General features: G+C 38.9%; 1 protein-coding gene across 22 annotated transcripts in view; it reads right to left on the minus strand.

Annotated features, from left to right (window-relative positions):
• RGS7 (regulator of G protein signaling 7) overlaps window positions 1-23485 on the minus strand; it is a 582489-nt gene that overhangs the window by 325867 nt on the left and 233137 nt on the right. The window contains exon 3 of one of the 22 annotated variants that reach the window (NM_001374808.1): window positions 1225-1370. The exons of 20 other annotated variants lie outside the window; for them this stretch is intronic. The gene's annotated coding sequence lies outside the window, so the exon portion shown is untranslated. Of the gene's footprint in view, window positions 1-1224; window positions 1610-23485 lie in introns of those variants that run through there. One more of the 22 variants, XM_017002009.2, reaches the window with a different exon arrangement.

The following is a 23485-nucleotide window of genomic DNA, read 5'->3' on the forward strand; positions in this document are numbered from 1 at the left end:
TAAATAACCTCTCTAAGACTCAGTTTTCTGATCCATAAAATGGTGATAATAATACTTGTAATAATTTCTTCATAGCGTTCTTCATGGGATTGCATTGGGCCTAGGGTGGGGTAAAGTATTTTAAGGGCAAATGATACAACATATATAAAGCCTGGTACATATATAGAACAACAAATATTAGACCAAATGTCCATGCACACCCACGATATCTGGGGATGCTTATTCTCCACCTTCATGTTTCTTTCCATGTGGAAGGAGCGCCATTACCCTAATCCCCTTGCCTTGTCTCTGCCCCCTAATTTACTCCAGGGGAGCTGAGCTGACTTATCAGACAGAAGAGCTGGGAATGAGAAACTGGCCTGCAGGGCCCACTCTTTTTCTCTTGGCTAGAAGCCCACATCTAACTCTGCTGATGTAGAGATGCCTGCCCTAGTGGGTAAGCAAGTCTATTCAGGATTGTGTTTCAGGATTAACAGTGACTTGTGCACAAACATTCTTCCATAATACCTTTATCAGCAATCAGGGTGATGTTGTGACCCCTACGTGCCTGTCTTTATGGTTATAGTTCTCAGTTGGCTCAGAAATCAAGTATAAAAAGAACATGATGCTGGGCACGGTGGCTCACGCCTGTAATCCCAGCACTTTGGGAGACCAAGGCAGGCAGATCACCTGAGGTCAAGAGTTCCAGACCAGCCTGGCCAACATGGCGCAACCCTGTCTCTACTAAAAATACAAAAATTAGCTGGGCATGGTGACAGGCGCCTGTAATCCCAGCTACTCGGGAGGCTGAGGCAGGAGAATCACCTGAACCCCAGAGGCAGAGCTTGCAGTGAGCCGAGATCATACCACTGCCCTCCAGCCTGGGAGACAGAGTGAGACTTCACCTCAAAAACAAAAAATAAATAAATAAATAAAAAAGAAAGAAAAAAAATGATTTTATCAGGCCTGTAAAAGACCCCAACAATAACCAAATACCAAATACCCCACTTCTTTTGTAATAAAGATCTGTAATAAAGATCTCTAAGTATAGAAACATGAAAATAGACATACTCTGATGACTTTTTATTTTGTTACTATTTGTTCATGACTGACCTGCCACAATGTTCAGAAATGCAGAATAAGCTGCTTTGTCCTGCCTCATATCAGCCTCTAAACCCTTGTATTATCTGCTTAACGGTTTAAAGCAGGCTGGATTAGAGGGACATGGAAACCTCTCTGACTCACACTTTCATCTCAGCACCTAGAGATGTGGCAGCAGTCACCTCTGCTTCGGGCTGAATTTAGGTGCGTAGCTATGAGTGGCAGTGTTTTCTTTGTATAGTCTCATCCCCTCTCAGTTCATGGGATCCCAAAGGAGTGAGAATAGGAGGCTGGAAAGTAAAAGTGACTTCTGTGGTTGTATTCCAAAATATTCCATTTTTCTGAGTCATCATTTCCACAAGAGAAAAAAATTTTAACTCCAAGTAAAAATAGGATTGGTGTTCTAGACTGAAAACGTGATCATGTACATGCATTCAGCTGTTTTTATCTTTATCCAGACATAATTTATCCGTGAACCTTCTCATGGCCTAGAATGAGACAAAAACAAACAAAAGAAAACAACAACAACAAAATGAAGAACAAAGACACATAAAAAAAACCCCTGCTTTCTAAAAACTAAAATCAATTAAAAAGAAAAAGAAAATTCTAGCCCTCAAATGACTGAAGGGACCCCCTCTTGGCTAACGGGACCCCAGGGAAACCCTGGAAGCTAAGTTCATGGCCATGATGGGATGGGGGGTGGGACACACCTCGTTGTACCCCTTCCTCACTAACCACTATCAGCCTTTCTTCCCTAAGGGGCAAACAGAAACTGACCCTTTTGAAAGACTCCACATTGATAATGTTGATTAATGACTTATCTTCCCAGGACAGAACAAAGCTAAAATGAGATCAGTCATTCCTTCACTCCTCTCTGGGATGTCTGCTCCCTCCATTCCCTTTTTTTTCAAATGTTCACCTTATCTTATGTAAAAAGTAAACTTACAGGGCACTAATTAAAGTCTCGCAAGTATGTAATCATTCCTCTCACTGTTGCCTCCTCTTTTTTAAGGAAAATGTATAAATACTAAACCTCCTAAGAACCTCTGGGAAAAACAGCCAAACAGGCATCCATAACTTGTCCTCAAGCTGGCTCAACAAGCTTCAGTGATTGAGATTTATGTCTCAATCACTCATTTTGGTTGTCACAGTCACCAAGTCCACATAAAAAAACACATGCATCTTATCTGTTGATGTTCCCTCGAGCATTCACTCAGAGTCTATTAATTTTTATATTAAGCATGACTTGAACATGCTTGATGGTCTGTTTTCCCACTATTAGCAACAGCAATTGGATGAGAAGAAAAATGCTACAAGCAAGCAAAAAAAAAAAAACAGAGCAAGTTAGTTAGACAGTAAGAGGTATGAGGGATAGTAAAAAGCAACTCCAATAAATATGAAAATATTTGGGGCAATTTAGTCTAAGGCCAAAAGACTCAGGTACCTCAAGTATCCCATATATATATGTATGTGTGTGTATATATATGTGTGTATATATATATACTTACACACACGCATATATATGCATGTATACATGTGTATGCACACACATATATGCACATGCATATATTCATTAAAATGCCATTGAGTTGTGTGTTTTCACTTCCATAAGCCTGTTTCTGAGGGTGAGGAAACTGGGCATGGGAGAAGAGAACACTAGACGATGGGCATGGGCAGGAGAGCTGGCATGCCTTGGGTCACCGAGGATTTTTCTGAAGGCTATTTTCTTTACTCTTAAGAAGTTCAAAGTAGATGATCTGTAAGACTTCTCCTAGCTACAAAATGATTGAAGTCTGGAAATAATCATCAGCATTCAGAAGGAGGTAAGTTTCCACACTAGGTCAAAGAGCCAATTCCCTGTTACAGACAAATAGATGAAGCTATTAAATTAAATAAAACCAGGCCAGGCTCGGTGGCTCACGCCAGTAATCTCAGCACTTTGGGAGGCCAACACAGGAGGATGACTTGAGCTCAGGAGTTTGAGACCAGCTTGGGCAACATGGCAAAACTCTATCTCTTAAAAAAAAATATGAAAATGAACTGGGCATGGTGGCAAGCACCTGTGATCCCAGCTACCCAGGAGGCTGAAGTGAGAGGATCTCTTGAGCCTGGAAGGTCAAGGCTGCAGTGAGCTGTGGTCCTGCCACTGCACTCCAGCTTGCGCTACAGAATGAGACTCTGTCTCAAAAATAAATAAAATAAAATAATCAAACAAGACCTTATACAAATGTATTTGCTTCCAATTGTCAGCACATTTTAGTTTCAATGCAAGACGTAGTTATTAAAAGCATGCATTTAGGCCGGTTAGACCTGAGTTTGAATCCTGACTGTACTACTTACAAGCCATCTGAACAGGTGAGTTAATTTAACACTCAAAGATTCGGTTATCTCATCTGTAAAATGGAGATAATCATAAATTGTATACATCTTATCAAGGGTGAGAATTAGTGAAACAATGCTAATTAAATGCTTACTATGATGCCACCACCAACACCATCATCATCATCATCATCAACATAATTTTCTTCCTTCATCGTTGTACTAGGAAGATACGGATCCTTTTTCTTTTATAATTCAGCCGGCAAAGATGCTGTAGTTAAGTGCAAATATTTGTTAGACGCAATAAATTGTCAAGCAATAAGTAGTCAGAGATGCCTATACATAAGCTCTGTCTTTGATTTCCTGTAAAAAACTGAGTTCATGTTGGCCCCTGCAAGACAGGAGATTTGATTTGAAGAAATGTCAGGGGAAATATTTGTGCATATAAGCAAAGGCTATGTAAGCTATGAAAAAAATCATATTTAGAAAGGGAAATGAGATGGCATTCACTTTTAACAAAATGAAAACGTCTTTGCTGTCATCTTTTCTTGACAAATTTGCCTCTTGAAGTTATTTAGATTAAAAATTAAATTAAATTGAGTGCTGTTTGCAAGACTTAATTTTTTAATGCAAACTGATTCACTATGCGTGATAAAAGTAAAAGTTAAACAAGTGTATTTTACAAAGTAATTTTGAGAATATGTATTGCTGAACTCATTCAAAACTTTTTATGCTTCTGTTACAGAACCCTCCATATTTCATTAACTAGTAAAACTATCTGTTTTCCCTTAGATGTAAACTTCTGGAGGAAAAAATTCTTACCTTACTCATCTTTGCATTGTTAATATATAAAGTGTCTGGTCCATAATGGAGGCTCACTTTAAAAAGAGAAGAGGGGATTGATGTATTTTTGTTTAAGGCATATGTTTGCATTTTCTGAGAGCCTCAAAACAAAAGTGGAAGTTAATTTAAGATTTGGTCTTGAGATGTTTGATATGTTTTTTTCTTTGTATGTAACTTTTGTGAAAAATACATTATCAGCATCAGAAATAGTGACACAGAGTAGCTCAGCGTAGGGCAGGTTAAAACACTCTTATCCCTCTTATTTTTTCTGCTCTATCTAATGCAGATACTCCAGCTTACTTGTTAGAGGAATTTCTTCCTTTATGCTCTATCTAATGCAGAGATACTTCAGCTTACTTGTTAGAGGAATTTCTTCCTTTAATGCAAGAGAGTAAATCAGTGGCTGTTGATGAGGCTGTCTTCTTGCTTGTAGATGTGACACTCAAGTTCATTGCCATGTGTAAGCCCTCAAGATGAAAGGCACTATTGAACTTCAACACCCTGCTCTTTTCTCAGGAATTCATAATTAGCATTTCCTTTGGAATAGTTTAGATGTCACTTCAAGCTTGTGATGTATTTCAAAAAGGCTCAGGTTAAACAGTTCCCGCCCGAACACTTGGCGGAATGAAAGAAGGAGCATATTACACAGGTCCATCTTCTTTGAAGAGAGTTACTAATTATTCAAGAGGGGCTGCCAGACAGGGCTCCCACATATTGATGAAAACAAAATCACTGCCTTGAAACCTTTCCAGTTCTCTAATGTTCTAAACAATTATGGGAGTTTAATTAAATTAACTTGTAGCTATATTTGCCGGAACTTTACCACAATATCATTATTATTGATTTCATTAAGCCAATCGCTTTACAGAGACACCATGACTGTAGGCAAAACATTTGTTATGAAGTAAAGCTAAAACGTTTTGTACTCTGTAATTCTGAAAAAGAAATGAATCAATCAAAATTTCAGAAGAAGTTTTCCAACTCTGCCTTACAACCACCATTAAGCACAGGCATTTGGAGATATAAATGGGAGACTAAGTGGGCAGATTGAATGGCTTTTTTCTATGTGCACATACTTTCAAATTATGGTGTGTACTGTCATTTTAAGTGCTAGCTATGAAAATGGGAGAAATGATCACTGAAGCGCTTCTTGGATTTCTTGGGCAGTTAGGTGGTGGCAGGTTTTCATAATTTAAATTCGCCTATAACTCTTTTTACTTCAGAAAGCCTTTCGAATGCAGAAAATCATTTACACTTCTGAATTCATCAGTGAAAACAGAGAAAGTAGAGTCAGTCTCTAATGAAAGTTAAATTAAGAATAATGAGATTAAAATTTGCAAGACAAACTGTTTTCTGCTGTAATAATTCAATTAAAGCTGCTTCTAATTGATATGATTTTTCCCCATGTTATAGTTTATTGCAGTCAGTATCTTAACTCAGAATTAATTACTCTTTTCATATTAAAAAACTGCCATTTTCATGAATAATCGACTAAAAATAGAAACTAGTAAAATCTTATTGCATGTAAATCTGTCCTAGTTTAACTTAAATATAGATTTATTTATTTAAAAAACAGTAACTCAGTGAGGCATGGTGGCTCATGCCTATAATCCCAGCACTTGGGAAGCCGAGGCCAACGGATCACCTGAGGTCCGGAGTTTGAGACCAGCCTGGCCAACATGGCGAAATTCTGTCTCTACTAAAAATACAAAAAAATTAGTCATGTGTGGTGGCAGGTGCCTGTAGTCCCAGCTAATCAGGAGTCTGAGGCAGGAGAATCCCTTGAACCTGGGAGGCGGAGGTTGCAGTGAGCCGAGATCGCGCAACTGAACTCCAGCCTGGGTGACAGAGCGAGACTCCGTCTCCAAAAAAAAAAAAAAAAAAAAAAACCAACACCACCACCACACACACACACACACACACACACACACACGATAACATAACTCATTTGAAAGCTTAGAAGCTTAGAAACTTAGAAATTTTATCCTTTTGTGATTTTGCAGAAATAAAGTAGAGGTTTTTTTTCTAATTTATAGACGTTTCTGCTTTTTTTTTTTTAAATAAATCATTTCTCTCATTCATCTCAAGGAATATAACCTCCACTGAAAATAAATAAACAGATAAATAAACAATTATGCTCACTGTGTTTGTTGGGATTACTTGGGTTGACAGAATCCCAAATTCAATTGTCATGAACAAAGAAATGTGTTGTAAGTACTGTGGGATGTCTTCTGGAACTCGAAGACGGGCACATAAGTGGGTCTCATAAGCAGCCCGCCTTTAGGGCATGCTTACTGCCCCCTCCACTCTGCTCCTTGTGGTGAGCCCACTTTTTCTTCTCGGCCTAGAGTCCTCTCTTAGTTCTTCAATGCACAGAACAGCAAAAATGGCTGCCCTTACTGCTTGAGTTTTACAGTTTGTGAAATTAAATAATTCCAATTTAAAGCTGTTGGAACTTTAAATTATTTGAGCTTTGAGAAAAATGTGACTATATGGCCTGAGCACATAGCATGCAGCTGCAATTCCTGCTTCTCCGATTACAGATTACAGTATGTTACTCTTGTGCTGTGGATGATTAGGAAAGGCTGAAAGGTGCCATAAATAAGAGTCTATTACTCCTCCTTATAAAATGTCGAATCAGTCTTCCTTGGAATGTAGTAAACTATAACTAATCAAACTCCTGTAACATAATCTAAGAATTGGTCTTGCATGAAAAATGTTGCAACTCTGTTAACATTTCTGTCTCTACCTATATAAGTGAAACCTTACCTCCACACTTGGATGCACTAACCCCATTCTTTTGGAGTCTGTGTTACCCAGGTGGTGACAGCCTCAAACGTTGTGCTCAAATAAATTCTACACTTAATCATATTTTCTGAATCTCATTATTTAATGCTGACAAGTTTATATGAACCCAAGGAGAAATTCCTTCTCTAATTTCCATACCTGAATTTTGGGGCAAAAACTTTGATTTATAACACTGGAGGTGGAGTTGGAAGGGGTGCTGGGCAGAGAAACTAAAGGCATTCGTTATCACCTTATTCAATATAAAAACCCATTGAACGATACATGGATAAAGTTATATAGCAGAAAAAAGTGTAAGAAAAGCAGTCTCAAAAAAATAAGAGTGGGTGGTTGCTGAATAATGAGAAAGAGCCCAAGGGCCAGGTGCGGTGGCTCACACCTGTAATCCCAGCACTTTGGGATGCCGAGGCGGGTGGATCACAAGGTCAGGAGTTTGAGACCAACATGGTGAAAGCTTGGCCAACATGGTGAAAGCCGGTCTCTACTAAAAATACAAAAAGTAGCTGGGCGTAGTGACGCGCGCCTGTAATCCCAGCTATCGGGAGGCTGAGGCAGAAGAATCGCTTGAACCCGGGAGGCAGAGGCTGCAGTGAGCCGAGAACACACCACTGCACTCCAGCCAGGGCGACAGAGCGAGACTCCGTCTCAAAAAAAAAAAAAAAAAAAAGCGCCAAAGAAAGACAAAAATTGATGCAGAAAAGAACGTTGGACAGACAAGTCAAACAACTGAATGAGATTTCACAGCTATGAAAGACAGAAAGACGGAAGTAGCATGACCAAATAGGCCAAGTGGTTAATTACATTGCACTCTTCGGCATGGTAAGTATTTGCCCCGAGGTAGAAAATACCAACGATGCTAAATGTATGTGAAAGAGTAACTTAGGTTTCCAGATTTCTTTTTTGTTCCTAGGAGGTATCACTTCTTTAACTCTCAAAAGGAGCCTCGTGGCTAATTTTTATTGCAGTCAAAGTTCAAATAGGAGAGTTGTCAATGTCCCCTGAACTATTTGGGAAAGACTTCATGGGAAAAGTAAGATTAAGCTGATCCTAGAGGGTAGGCAGGATAGAGAGCTATAAAGGAAAGGAGGAGGCAGAGCACACGAATACTTTAATCAATTGCTTCATCTTCGGCGTCAAGATGGGAATGAGTAAGACTCCTGCACAGAATAATGAATTCTGTCAGAATCCTTCTCCTTCTGCCTCTCCAACTTGACAATTTTAACCTTTCTGGAAGGTGTCTCTGTAGTCATTTTCAAACACAATTCCACCTTTGCTATCAACTTAGTTCACATACTGCCTGCTTGAAATTCTCTCTTATACGAACTCCTTACCTCCTGATCCCACTTGAGCTCACATCAGTTCGCTCAAGTAGCAAACCCCAGAATTAACCTGGGAACAAGTTTAAATATTTCATCTCTTGTTTAAAACTTCCATTGGCCTGACAACCCCATGAATTTTCTGTAAGCGAAATGACCACCCAAATTTATCCACGATATGACGCCCAACTGTCATTCTAGCGTTATAACTTGCTTCCCACATGCTCAGCAATTGCTCCTGCCTGCCTCACCTTCTCACATACACTTCCTCATGCCAGCTGCGCCCTTCCCTTTTCCATCTGTGCCTGTGGAAATTCAGCTATACTTCTAGGATCATTCCAAATTGTAATTTCCTACTGACGTCCGTCTTTATCCCTCCCCCTACCTCTCTCATCCCAACAGAATATGATCATATTCTCTGTTAAACTACTTGAGATCTTTATTTTTAGTTTAAATTTTTTTTACCCTACCTTACTTTACATGACTTACATGTAAGTTATTTATTAACATAAATATCATTCTCTTTAGATTATAAAAGCTTTGGTAATTTGCATTAGTTTTGCTATCTGTGGCATGGTCCATGAGGAATTATCACCCCCCATTTTTTACTTTACATACTTCTTTGCTGTGTTTGTATGTTCACCAACAGGACGTATTACTTTTATAATTAATATTATTTTCTATTTGAAATAATTAAGAATTCTGGCCGGGCGCAGTGGCTCACACCTGTAATTCCAGCACTTTGGGAGGCTGAGGCAGGTGGATCGCCTTAGTTCAGGAATTTGAGACCAGCCTGACGAACATGGTGAAACCGTCTCTCTACTAAAAATACAAAAATTAGCCGGGCTTAGTGTTGGGTGCCTGTAATCCCAGCTACTCAGGAGGCTGAGGCAGGAGAATCGCTTGAACCCAGGAGGCAGAGGTTGCAGTGAGCCGAGATTATGCCACTGCACTCCAGTCTGGGCAACAAGAGCTAAACTCCATCTCAAAAAAATAATAATAATAATAATTAAGAATTCCCACTTTAATAGTATTAAAATATTAAACGTTAAGTTCTTTATTCAAATGTCTGTTGTAACACATTTGAGGGTTAAATATCGCCAACTGCTCTTTACAATATACTCTCTGTAAACATTCTGTATAATTGCTATTGACTTTCAACAACTAAACTAGTCTACCTCCAAATTATCTCTTTTTACAACCTTTTAAATTCAGAGTTAATGAACGAAATTGTTTACATTCCCTTTTTTCTTAGTCACATCTCCAATAACCCTGGAAGTCCGAATCAATAGTCTTATCATCGGCCCCCTTTCAGATGGAGAGACCACAGTTCCTGACAGATGAAAGGCTTCTCTTGGGACTTTTTTTAATTGACGCAGGTGCTTGATTTCAGACAAGCCCTTCTATTCTAGCTTCTGGAATCAACTTGAAATTCAGCAACCTCTATGTGTAACAAAAATGGACGAATCATTCCTCTAAAAAATAAATGAACAATGATATTTAGCAAACAAAATACCTAAAGACAACCATTGATTTGGATGAGTGAAAAAGGCAGAGAATGCAGAAGATGCCTGGGATTTAGCTAATCTCTGAGATTCCGGCAGGAAGGACATAAAAAAAGTCAAAGGGCTCTTGGCTGAGTTTGCCATTTTATTTTATTATTTCATTTTTATTTTATTTTATTTTATTTTATTTTATTATTGAGACAGGGTCTCACTCACTCTTTTTTTTTTTTTGAGACAGAGTCTCACTCTATTGCCCAGGCTGGAGTATGATGGTGCGATCTTGGCTCACTGCAGCCTCCACCTCCCAGGTTCAAGTGATTCTCCTGTCTCAGCCTCTCAAATAGCTTACAAGTGCCCGCCATCATGCCCAGCTAATTTTTGTATTTTTAGTAGAGATGGGGTTTCACCATGTTATCCAGGCTGGTCTCAAATTCCTGACCTCAAGTGATCCACCCGCCCCAGCCTCCCAAAGCTCTGGGATTATGGGAGTGAGCCACCGTGCTTGGCCAAGCTTGCCATTTTAAAACATTCTTACTAAAGGAAAGGGGTCTCACAATACCTCCACGGAGTATAATAGATTTAAAATAGCTTTGGAACATAAGAATTACTCTAATGTTTCAATTCTTTGATTTAAATCCCAGCTTCTCTTTGTAGCCATTTATGTCTTTGTTGTTTATAAATTCATACAAATATTTCGGAAGCCACTTAAGTTTCCCACCTCCTTGGGTAATAAATTCTGTATGTAAATTATCTGCTAGTTGAATTCATATCTAGTTCCTATTATTTAATTCTTGCCTCATTCAAGCTCAAAAGAAGCCCCACCATTTTACAGTATGAGAATTTAGTGACTAACACCTTGTTTATCCTATTCATGGTATTCGTACATCCATAAATGTTGATCCACACTATCTCCTCCTCCTTTTCGTGAGCAACAGACCCAGTCATTCTCATAGTTCTGTATGGAGCACATCCTTCTACAATTGTCTGCCCCGCTTGATATTTGTGAGGGAAACCTGGCCGAGGCCAGATACCATGGTTCATGTAATCTCAGTGCTTTGGAAAGCTGAGGGAGAAGGATTGCTTGAGGCCAGGAGTTTGAGACCAGCCTGGACAACATAGCAAGACCCCCCCTCTCTACAAGTAAAAAAAAAAATGAAAAGACAAGTGTAAAAACAATCCAGTCTATTGATGGCCACTGGGCATCACAGACTCGTTTCCAGATATTCTCCCTCCAACACCTTCACACAACTCCAGGACTGATGGTGGGAAGAACAGCCTTATGCATGCTTACTTCCATCCTAATCCTACACTGCAAACCAGGAAATAAGACTGAATGTGCACTGTGGACTAAAAGCATCTCTGTTATTCCCATAAACTGACTGAAAACAATAAATGTACCCATTGTTGAAAATAAGGCTCTGTCATCATGTGTTCAGTGACGCAGAGCCTAGAACATTTCAGAGTATCATGTAGGTGATTCTTCTCTCAATTCTTTCAAGGCTGGTACAGGACTAGTGGCATTCCAAACACATAGGAGAGAAGTTTATTTATTACACACAATAGATGCCTCAGGTCATTCGAGCTTAATATTCTTATGAAACCTGGGCAGGACCTGTCAGAGTATGAAATGCTCCATCTGAAGCCACAAGAGAAAGCACTACTCTGCTTCCACTGAGATGAAACATGAGGACTTTGGATTAAGTGTAGGCAGAAGGGCTAAAAATATATATTTTTAATGATGTGATATCAAGAAATGTTACTTAAGTAATTTATTTTTATGGTAACATACTTATAAAATGCAGCCCAGAGATGTCTCTGGGATGGTCTTAGTAGAGTTCTTCCAAGAGTAATTAAAGGGATGACCTCACAGCCATCACCACCGTATATATGATAGTGCTTTGCCTGGGTCCATCCAGCTGGCTTAGTCCATGAAACAATACCATGTTTCTAACTACCATTTTCAAAATGAAATTAAAAAGGGATTATAACCTGAAGGTAGGGCAAAAGCACTTTAAAAGGACAAAAGCATCCTCATGCCAATGAAGAAGATTTATTTCAGGTGTACACACTAAAACTAAATATAAGTATGGTGATTTATTTGTCTTAGGTGTTTCATGGTTTTCAAAGTTTTAAAGTGGTTTCTGCAGCTGCTGAATCTGACCTTTTTCTCTGTGTAACACTCTTGGTTTACTTATTTTGTACAACGATTTTTAAATTTCCAGTTCCTAGAATTCTTTTAAGATCAATGAGTAAACTGTAGAAGGGCAAAAGGAAAAGATTTCTACTTTAATTGTACCCTTGCTAGTGTTGCCGATTCAAGGCACTACAACGTTAAGATGGATTTTATTTTTCAGAAGTATTTGAACAGTGATGTCGATCTTTCTAACCCACCGAACAATTAGTTTTAAAGCAGAGAAAATTCAATGTGACTTTTCTGACTTGCCTTTTATATGGGGATTTGGAAAAAACACCTCCTTCTGGCTAGTCCATCTATGAAAGAAGGTTCTGCACAGGACCTAGTTTCAACTACTCCTTCATTCCACACTGTTCTCAAGAGAGAAATTAGGATGAATGGTGGACGAATTCATACAAAATCCCAAGGCAAAGTAGGTCCAAGCCTTGGCACACAAACATATAACTTCTAGTCCAATAACTGGCTCTTTTATATCCACCACAATTTTGTTTTCCCCACGAGTGCCAAGAAAATCAGAATGTCTAGTTGCCTTCTTCCTGACAACGATTCTCAATGATCCTATGAAGAAATGAATAAAAAATAAAAAGGTACCTCACTTATTACTAGATATCTGTGACTATTATCTTATGGCTAGAACACGAACATCAGAAGGTCATGGCAGTGATGTTGAATTATTTAAAACTATTTCCCCATTTGGTAATTGTTAAAGTCATAGAGACACCTAGGTAGTTTGAAATGCCCTCCATTGAAAGCCAGCAATTTCTATGTGTCTCCACCAGCCAAGAGGACCCTGTAGAGCTTTACTTTCTATAGCTGGAATAATGAAAAACAATAGGTTTTTTATTGTTTTAAAGAAAAAATTAAAATACTGACTATATTTTTAAAACTGCACCTGCTCCCTTAACGTTTTGATACTCGCATGGATAAACAACTTTGATAACCTCTGGTGTAAAGAACGTGGCCTTTGTTGCTTAGCAGAGCCATGTGCAAATCTCAGGTCCGTCATTTGATGAATGATGTTAGGAAAATAATTTAGCCTCTCTGGGCTAGGTCTTTGTACTCCTTCCCTATAAAATGAGAATGCTACTTCCTTGATAAAACATGTACTTTACAGCATAAGTTCCCCTTCCTTCTTTCTGTGCAAACTCTGAGATGACGCTATTTCTAAGAGTGCAACACTTGGAAATGAGGTGTCTTCTTTTCTCTGGAGCTATTAAGACTTTCTTTATTCCCTACTTATGACACACTCTGTATTACATTATAGTCATATGTGTACATGTCTTATTTCTTTTGTTCTCTTTTACTGAAAGTTTCTTCAGGATAAATATTAGTTTAATTACACTGGTTTAATCACTGTATCCTGAATAGTATCTTTTGGGAAACTGAGTATACAGAGACAATGGCTAGACCACATATGAGCACAGAATTCTGACCCACAGCCCCTGCAACCAGCCTGGGAAGCCAAACCACAAGCTCAGCAGTAGTAAGTCCAAAATGGTCAAGACTCAGGCAATGACAACCAGCTTCCCTAATTTTTGCCTCTGCCTATAACTCTGGACAAACCAGAGAAAGCTAGACACTCCTCAATCTAGTTATATTAGATACCCACTTTCAGCTTCCCCATGCAACAACCTCCAGTCAGAGCTCGCTCTTTCTCTCTCTCTCTCTTTCTCTCTCTTTTTATTATAAAGCTTTCCCACTCCTCTGCCTGCCTTTGAGTCTTTGCCAGACACAAGTGGTGGTGGACGATTACCTTGCTACAGCAAGTGCTGAATACATAGCCTTTCTTTGTTTTCATTTTGGTGACCTTCATTTACTTCCACATTAAAAAAAAAATTCATGTACATCTCACTGCATTCCCAAGAAGAATCTGGGGTAAATCCTTGTCCAGAATTATGTCTTTTATAGAAGCAAAGTCTCCTTCCAGTTCTAATATTCTGTGACTAATAGATGTTGAGGTCGAATAAAATGCTGATTTGTTGAACAACTTTTCAGAAATAGATTATTCCTGTGTATAAGAATTGTCAAAATAAGTAATTCAAAATCTAAACTGTTGAAACTTTCCCTTATTTTGAGCCCTAAAAGAATATGATTATGGGGCCTGAGTCATGTGACAGGCAGCTGTAACCTAGGCAGCTGTAACCTTTGTTTTTGTGATTATAGATTAGCCTTCTTCCTATATTGTTTTGTAAAATGTTGCAAATGACTGAAGGGCACCAGGGAAGACCCTTTCCCTCTACGCTGCTGATCTTCATTACAGATTGACTTTCTTCTTTCCTTTCTCACACAAGGACTTTACTTGACTATCACATTGTCTAAGATGGAATGCCAAACATACTTTTAAATTGGAAAGGAAATGAAAACAAGCTTTACAGAAAAGAAAACAAACTGTAACCAATCATTACATTGCTGTAACCCATAAACCAGCCTTGTATAGAAAATGCTGTAATCCTGTTAAATTTGTTTTCTGCTTACATAAGCAAGACCTTAACTTTTTACTTCTGAGCACTGACCCCATTTCTCTGGAGTCTATTTTCTGATGGCCATTCCCACCTTTGCACTGGAATAAACTCTTTAAAACTAGATCTGATCCTTGCAGTTATTTCAGGTTGACAGAATGGTTCATGCTGAACCTCCGAATTAAGTTGTTGGTTTAAATTTTTATGCAAGTTCTAAAAGACCAAATTAACCTCCCACCACATCATACCCAGCAATATTATACTGCCCAGTTAAGAGCCATGGGTATAAAATTACATGATTTCTTTCAGGAGGCATTTATCCTTCTACTAAATATCAGTTCATTTTTTCAAAAATCCACTCGTCCAGCTTTGTGGGAACTGAACACTAAGAATTCTCAATAGGGGAAGAAACAATTGTCTCCCCCATTGTATGTGTATTGATTTGTAACATAACGTGGGGCGAATGGTTTGAGCCTGGCTTCTCCTTCTCTTCTTGCCAACCCTGGTCCCTTGTTTTGGGATCCGTTTCCCTTGGAGAATATAAACATTCTTTATCCCACTTCTTGAAAGGCCATCCTTGTCTTTCTAGTTGATGTTAGGAATGAACTGACATGGACGACAATGACTATGACCTATGTAGGAAATCTGTGAACTGAGTAAGTAGTCATATGAAACCAAATCTTATGTGACCTATTGATATGGTTTAGATTTGTGTCCCCACTCAAATCTCATGTCGAACTGGAGGAGGGGCCTGGTGGGAGGTGATTGGATCATGGGAAGGGATTTCCCCCTTGCTGTTCTTATGTTAATGAGTGAGTTGTCGCAATATCTCATGGATTAAAAGTGTGTGGCACTTCCTCCAACACTCTCGCTCTCTCTTGCCACCACGTGTGCTTCCTCTTTGCCTTCTGCCATGACTGTAACTTTCCTGAGGCCTCCCAGTCATACTTCCTGTTAAGCCTGTGGAACTGTGAGTCAACTAAATCTCTTTTCTTCATAAATTACCCAGTCGCAGGTAGTTCTTTATAGCAGTATGAGAATGGACTAATACACCTATATTTACACTACTCTAAAACTTGCATTATACATGTAATTTTAGAAATTTTTATTGTGGAAAATCTTAAACAGATACAAAAATAAATAGAATACAGTGAGCCACAGGTACTCATCACCCACCTGTAAAAATCTTCAGTTTATTATGCCAATTTATGTTTTAAAAGGAATACCAACTCTCTCTATGAAAAGTATGACTTAGGAAAAGGTACCGTATATAGGTTTTTCTATTAGTGTGAATTTCCCATGCATAAAGTGGTTGCTCTCTCCTAGCAGGCTCTGGCTGCTGGCTTCCCGGCCTCCCTTAATGCTGTGGATACCTGTGACACAAGACCTGGCTTTCCTTAATGCCTATCTAACTTCTTTATTTCCTATAAGACTCCAAACTTATGAAAAAAAGAGGGTGACAGACAACAGTTCATATACTAATAAAGTAAAATTTGACCTCTATTTTTATATACATTCTGTAAATTTTTTTTAGTTGACATATAATAATTGTACATAGTCATGGGGTACATAGTGATGTTTCAATACATGTAATGTATAGTGATCAGGGTAATTAGCATATCCATCATCTAAAACATTTGTCAGTTTTTTTGTGTTGGAAATGTTCAGTATCCTCCTTCCAGCTATTTGAAATTATATGATATATGTTATTGTTAACTATAGTCATCTGACAGTGGTATAGAACACTGTAACTTATTTCTTCTAATACACATTATTTAATTTACTCCTAACCACCATGTAATATAGATAATGCAATCATGTTAATCATTCCTTTTTAGAGATAAGAGAGCTAGGGTTCTGAGAATTAAACCGATAGATGTAAGGTTACACAGTTGGTAAGAAGGGGGCCCTCTACGAGGTAGTATATGGGGGCACATTTGCAAAGCATTACAATGGAAGATTATATTTCAAAAAAAACACGGCAAAAATGCATGTCAGCTTTCTTTTCAAATAAAATATAAATGTCCTTGAACACAGTCCACTCTCAGGGGAAATTTGAGGAAAAGACATATCATACTGACTATATTCCATTTGATTGCACACAGTGATACAATCCTTTACATTTCAACCAAGACATTGAAATGCTCCTACTTCAAGTTCTGATTGTTCACATGCATTCTCTGGGAACTGCTGCCTGGATGTACAGGATTTTTTAAACTATGCAGAACCTACATCATTCATTCTATATGGCAGTTGTTGAAATAAACGTTTAGTGATTCTAAATACCTCACTAAAGTAGCTAGTACTTATTGTGAATCTACCATGTAGAAGTGCTGAATGCCTGTTGTGGATTGTGGATGGTGACAGGAAAGGAGGTAAGAAATGACTTCCTCTGGGAGGGATCTTTGATTTGTGCTTTGAACACTGAGTGCAAATCAGATAAACTGAGTGGAGGGACTTAAGCAGAACTGCAGCAATGAGAAAACTCCTGGTTAATTTGACAGGAAAAGATTGTTTGCAGAGCGGTATCTGTGGGATAAAGTGGAAGAGTGTAATGTACAGGCTTGAGTGGAAATAGAACATGGATAACAAAGAAGAAACAACCCTAGGAAAAAGTAAAGCTGCAATATATTTCTTATCGGATTAATCTAAGATCAGTGTGGAGAAGCCAACAGAGACATAAAGGACCTCGTGTAAGAAATCAGACAATGGCACTGGGGACAATAGCCGGTAATGCAGAGAATCAAGCAAGATAAGCATGAAGTCAGAATCCAGGCATAGGCTGGACTAACACAATCCTTACCTGCAAAATCTGTAAAACTTTTGATAGCAATCTGCACTAAAATAAACATTTTTCATCATGACCCAGCACATACATGTGTATTCCAACATACATAGATTTAATTGAAACAAAAGTTTTACAAAACAATAGCTATTCTTTCTATGGTAGTGAAGCCTACTATTTTTATTCTATTCCACTGAATAAAAATTAAAATAGATTTTACAACCTTCTTAAATGTTTTTACAACCCACAACTGGAACATGATTCAACCAGCAGTTCATAAGAGACTATTGGGTACATTCCATGAGGAAATAAACATACGCAAGAAGTTTCCATCCTTAAACAAGTTTCCACCCAATTAAACAATTAAACAAACCAACCAATCACAGTCCTCCTCTGGCAACCATCTTATCTCATTTTATTTAATGCCAAACCTCTTGCCTTCCGCAAAGAGCTGTCTAACCTCATAGTTTTAAAACTTTTTCGTCTCAGGACAACTTTACACTTTTAAAAATTATTGAGAATCCCAAAGAGATTTTTTTTAAAAAATCAAATAGGCTGTACCTATTAATATTTACCAATTTTGACTAAAAACAAAACTATCATTTGACCCTGCAATCCTACTACTGGGTATTTACCCAAGGAAATCATTTTATAATATAAAAAAGACACTTGCACTCATAGGTTCATCACAGCACTATTTACAATAGCAAAGTCATGGAACTAACTTAAATGTTCATCAACAGTTGACAGAATAAAGAAAACATGGTATATAAACACCATGGAATACTACACAGTCTTAAAAAAGAATGAAATTATGTCCTTCCCAGCAACATGGAGGAGAGGGGGCCATTATCCTAAGTGAACTAACTTAGAAACAGAAAACCAAATACCTTTTGTTCTCACTTATAAGTGAGAGCACAACAATGGGTACACATAGACATAAAGATGAAAATATAATAGATACTGAGGACTCCAAAAGGAGGCAAGGAGGCTGAGGGTTGAAAAATTACCAGTTGAATACAATAATCACTCTTTGAGCCACGGGTATACTAGAAGCCTACTTTCATCAGTATGCAATATACCCATTTAACAAACATGCACATGCTCCCCTGCTCACCCAAAATGTAAAATAAAATAAAACAAAACAATTAAAAATTAAAAATTTACCAGCTATGAAATAAAAAATTAAAATAATCAGTAAAAATATATATTAATTACTTCATTAAAATGATAATAATAAGTACATTACATGGTAACATGAATATCTATCACAACTAACTATATTTCTCAAAACATATTTGGTAAGAGGAATGACGTTATTTTACAGTTTTGCAAGTCTCTTCCATGTTTGGCTTGGAAGACAGCTGGATTTTCACATCTATTTCTGCATTCAATCAGTTGCAATATGTTGTTTTAGTTGAAGAAAATCCATCCTTGCACAGAAAATGCTTTGAATAGGAAGGGATTTTTAGTAGCCTTATCAAACAATGAATGATACTCTTCTCTGCTACTATACCAAAACTCCACAGGTAGTAGTCAGTGATTACCTGAGATGTAGAATCTGAAACTTTTAACAATGAACTTTTCATACTCCTACTGTACTAAAATTCATTCTCCTATTTTGGACTTTGAATGGATCTTTTTACCCAGGAATGGCATGTACTGATGACTTGGAAAATACTGATGCACTGAGTTATGCAGATCTCTTAAATGCTGACACAATTCATCATACAATATCCAAAATGACATTTGTTAATATCACCACTGATACAATGAGAAAAGCCTTTTACTATTGGAAAGCTCCCAGGCTCATCGTGACAATCACAAGTTTTCCAAAATTATAACTTTCACTCACAAGTTTGTTATTGGCAACTAATACTGTCAGTTGTTTTCCTTGAAATGACGGTCTTATTTTTTTCCATTAAAAAAAGGTGTGCCAAATATTCATGTCTGAAACAGCAGAGCTTGTCTTTCAGTTATTCTTTCAAGTAACAATGACTAGCTCAGTTTGCAACTCAAATAATAGCACATCACACTTTTGTATGCAGCGCCTTGATCTCTTCAAAGCCATCTTCCACACTGTGGTCCGAGTGGCGTGTTGTAAGTAAATCTCCTCATTTTTCTCTCTTATTGAAAATACATTGGTTTTCTCTTTTGACTTTAGGATAAAGCTCAAAGTACTTGGCATATTATGAGGCCCTGCCCATCCTCAATGCAATCCCCATCCTTCCCACACTGGAGTTTTTAATCATTTTCCCAGGTGAGCCATCCTCAGGCCTCTAAGGCATTGCCTGCCTACCTGGTTAAAATGGGCTTACCTTCCAAGATTCTGCTCAAGTTCAGGGGCTTTGAGAAGCCTTTTCTCATACACCTTGCTCTCTACATACCACTATCATCATAGGTCTACTTATCAATTAATGTTGTATTTGTAATTTTTTTTGTTTTGTTTTAGAGACAGGGTCTTGCTCTGTTGCCCAGGCTGGAGTGCAGTGGCACTATCACAGTTCACTACCGCCTGGAACTCCAGGGTTCAAGCAATCTTCACGCCTCAGCCTCTCAAGTAGCTGGGACTACAGATCTGCACCACCACGCCTGGCTAATTTTTATCTGTTGTAGAGATGGAGTCTTGCTATGTTGCCCAAGCTGGTCTCGAACTCCTGGACTCAGGTGGTCCACCTGTCTCATCTTCCCAAAGTGTGGGAATTACAGGCATGAGCCACCGCGCCTGGCCTAAACTGTGAAATTCTTACAGGGGGAAATTTTGTACTGTACAGAGATCTTTTTACCAGTACACATATGTGTCCAAAATGATCTCAGGCCTAGAAAAGCCACGGCCTCTAGATAGAGAGGAAAATAGGGAAACTAGCTGACAAGTAAAGGGTCACTCCTGATAGCACAGCAGCAGGCTATGGAGTTTGGTGTCCACAGTTTAAGAAATGGAGGATAGAGGGTTTAGAGTGGAGGTGCACGAGTGAGGTGCATTTTAAATAGGTTAAGTAAGCCTGCTTCACACTACAATTTGAACTTTGGAGAAAGACTCAAGGCGAGGACACCGTACCTATATTTAGACCCCAGAAGAAAGCTTTGCTCCAGGTCTAACAGGTTATCTCTCCATGAGATAGCCTCCACTTCTCTCTGGATTATGATCTCACTTACTCCTTACTCCATTACTCCCCTTGCCTGGGCTCCTGACTCTGAAGATTGCTTCACAGATTTCAACAGTAAATAGATGATATCAGGAAAAAGAATTCAGAGGCCAAATTGTAAAATATTGGGTGAAAAAAAGTACTGGACAGATGTCAAAAACCTTTCAGAGATTTTACTTTTCTAACTTGCTCCAAATATCTCTAAAAAGGAATTATGGTTTGCAGTGCTTCCAAAAGAGCATAGCTGCAGAACCTTGTTTTGCAGGAGAATTTCAAGGGCTAAGGTTTAGTGCAATACACCTGGGAGAGACCTTGAGGTATGTATGCATCTAGGTTGAGCGATGAAAGGACAACAAAAGGAAAAGAAACAAAAACAAAGTCTCTAAAGAGCAGCAACAATAAAATCATCACTTGAAAACTTGTTTGAATATGTATGTTATAATTGATGCAGCCTCACATAAAAGGTGACAAGCTATGGTTCCAGGATAATATGTCTGGGAGTGAGGGTGGATGACAGAGAGGGTTGTTTGGAAGCTTATAGGAGAATATACTGCTCTAAATTTCTTATCATGATAAACTTGGAACTTTGAAGTTTAGAGAAGAAAGAGTTTATATATATGCTAGTCTATCCACCTGTGTTGCAATTGTTCTTTTTTTTTTTTTTTTTTTTTTTTTGAGACAGGGTTTCACTCTGGTACCCAGTCTAGAGTACAGTGGCAAGACCATGGCTTACTGCAGCCTCAACCTCCTAGCTCAAGCAGATTCTCCTCCCTAGTAGCTGGGACCTCAGGTGCGTGATACCACACCTGGCTAACTTTTAAATTTTTTGTAGAGATGAGGTCTTTGCTGTGCAGGCTGGTTTCAAATTCCCGAGCTTACGCATTTCTCCCGTCTTAGCCTCCCAAAATGCTGGGATTACAGGCATGAGCCACTGTGCCCAGGCTTAATTCTTTTTCTGAAGGTAATTATTAAGTTCTTTTCCAAGACTGCTTTATTACTTTTTTGAAAAATCACTTATACATTGCTTTTGTTATGCAAATGCAGCTGCTATCTTCAGTGACATTGTTCAGTAAGTTCACGCAAAAGTAATTCAACCCTTGGCACTTCATTCATCCTGTTGGCAAGCTGAAGGAGTAGAGAGTGAAAAATTAAATGAATATGTGATCTGTAGTTAGTACCTATACCTTCTATTTAGCATTCTCGTTACTCTCCCCAATCTGGATGCCTAGTGTGTACCACAGATACCACAGGGTTATGTCCTGATAAACTCATCATAAGTTGAAAATATTGTAAGTAAAAATGCATTTAATACACCTAACTGTCTGGGCATGGTGTCTGATGCCTGTAATCCCAGAACTTTGGGATGCTCAAGCTGGTGGATCACCTGAGATCAGGGGTTTGAGACCAGCTTGACTAACATGGTGAAACCCCATCTCTACTAAATATAAAAAATTAGCCAGGCACGGTGGTGCATGCCTGTAACCCTAGCTACTTGGGAGGCTGACGCAGGAGAATCACTTGAACCCCGAGAGGCAGAGATTGCAGTGAGCTGAGATCGCGCCATTGCACTCCAGCCTGGCCAGCAAGAGAGAAACTCCATCACAAAAAGAAAAAAAAAAAAAAAACACCTAACCTACCGAACATCATAGCTTAGTCTAGTCTTACCTTAACTGTGCTCAGAGCACTTACATTGGCCTACAGTTTGACAAAAGAATCTAAGACAAAGCCTATTTTATAATAAAGTGTTGAATGTCCCACTTGATTTGTTGACTCCTATGCTGAAAGTGAAAAACACAGTGATCATATGGGTAGTCAAAATACGGTTTCTACTGAATGTGTATCTCTTTCACACCACGGTATAGTTGAAAAATCCTAAGTCGAACCACATTAAGTTGGGGACCATCTGTAAACATAGGTGCTTGATAAGTGATTGTCAGACACATGAATAAATGAGGGAAATTTCCTGCTCTTGTGCAATCACAGAGACCTCTGGAATTCAACATAGCTACTCTCACAAGTGCTCAGGAACCCTAGAGGACATCAACAGGGGTGGTGTCAATCAGGGCTTTTTGATGACTTGCCCCAGAGCCTGCCCTGCTGCAGACCCCAGGTCCTTAGCCTCAGCAACACCCTTGGCTCTGAGGACTTCAGTGTGGCTGGACCAGCAGCTCCCTCTTTTTCATCACTCATTCATTATTTAATCAGCCTATCTACCTCACCAAGGCCTCCCCAACCCAGCTGCTCCTTTCTGTCCATAAAATAACTGCCTTAGTTCAGGCAGTTATGGCTGGGTGAAGCAGAGACAATGCCACTATTCCCACCATTCTAATTATGACCCACATCCTGGCAAGTGGATTCTCCCTAAGATACAATCACTCAAAGGCTCAGGGGCAAGAAAAGAGAACATGGGCCGGACACGGTGGCTCACGCCTGTAATCCCAGCACTTTGGGATGCCAAGGCGGGTGGATCACCTGAGGTCGGGAGTTTGAGACCAGCCTGACCAACATGGAGAAACCCCGTCTCTACTAAAAATACAAAAATTAGCCAGCTGTGGTGGCACATGCCTGTAATCACAGCTACTCGGGAGGCTGAAGGAGGAGAATCACTTGAACCCGGGAGGCGGAGGTGGTGGTGAGCTGAGATTGCACCATTGCACTCCAGCCTGAGCAACGAGAGTGAAACTCCATTTCAAAAAAAGAAAAGAAAAGAGAACATGGCTTTAGGTTTTGGTATCAAATAAGCCCAGAATAATGCTCAACCCAGAATGATGCAGACCTATGTCCTAGTCATGGTAGCATGGGACTGGGTATCCCCGCCATGCTGTCCACCCTCACCTTAGAAGAGGGCCTGCCCCTGGAGAAGCAGGAGAATGTGTTCCCTTTGGCGAAAGTTTGACCAAAAGAGGAAGAAAAATGAACCAAACATACTCAGATATTTTTCTGAAAGTTACTGATGAAATGAATCACTCCAATTTCTTAGGTCAAGCATTAATAAAGGGGTGGGGAAAAGCCAGGGATGTGCTTAGAGAGTAT

Source organism: Homo sapiens, chromosome 1 (genome assembly GCF_000001405.40).
Source record: "Homo sapiens chromosome 1, GRCh38.p14 Primary Assembly".
NCBI lineage: Eukaryota > Metazoa > Chordata > Mammalia > Primates > Hominidae > Homo > Homo sapiens.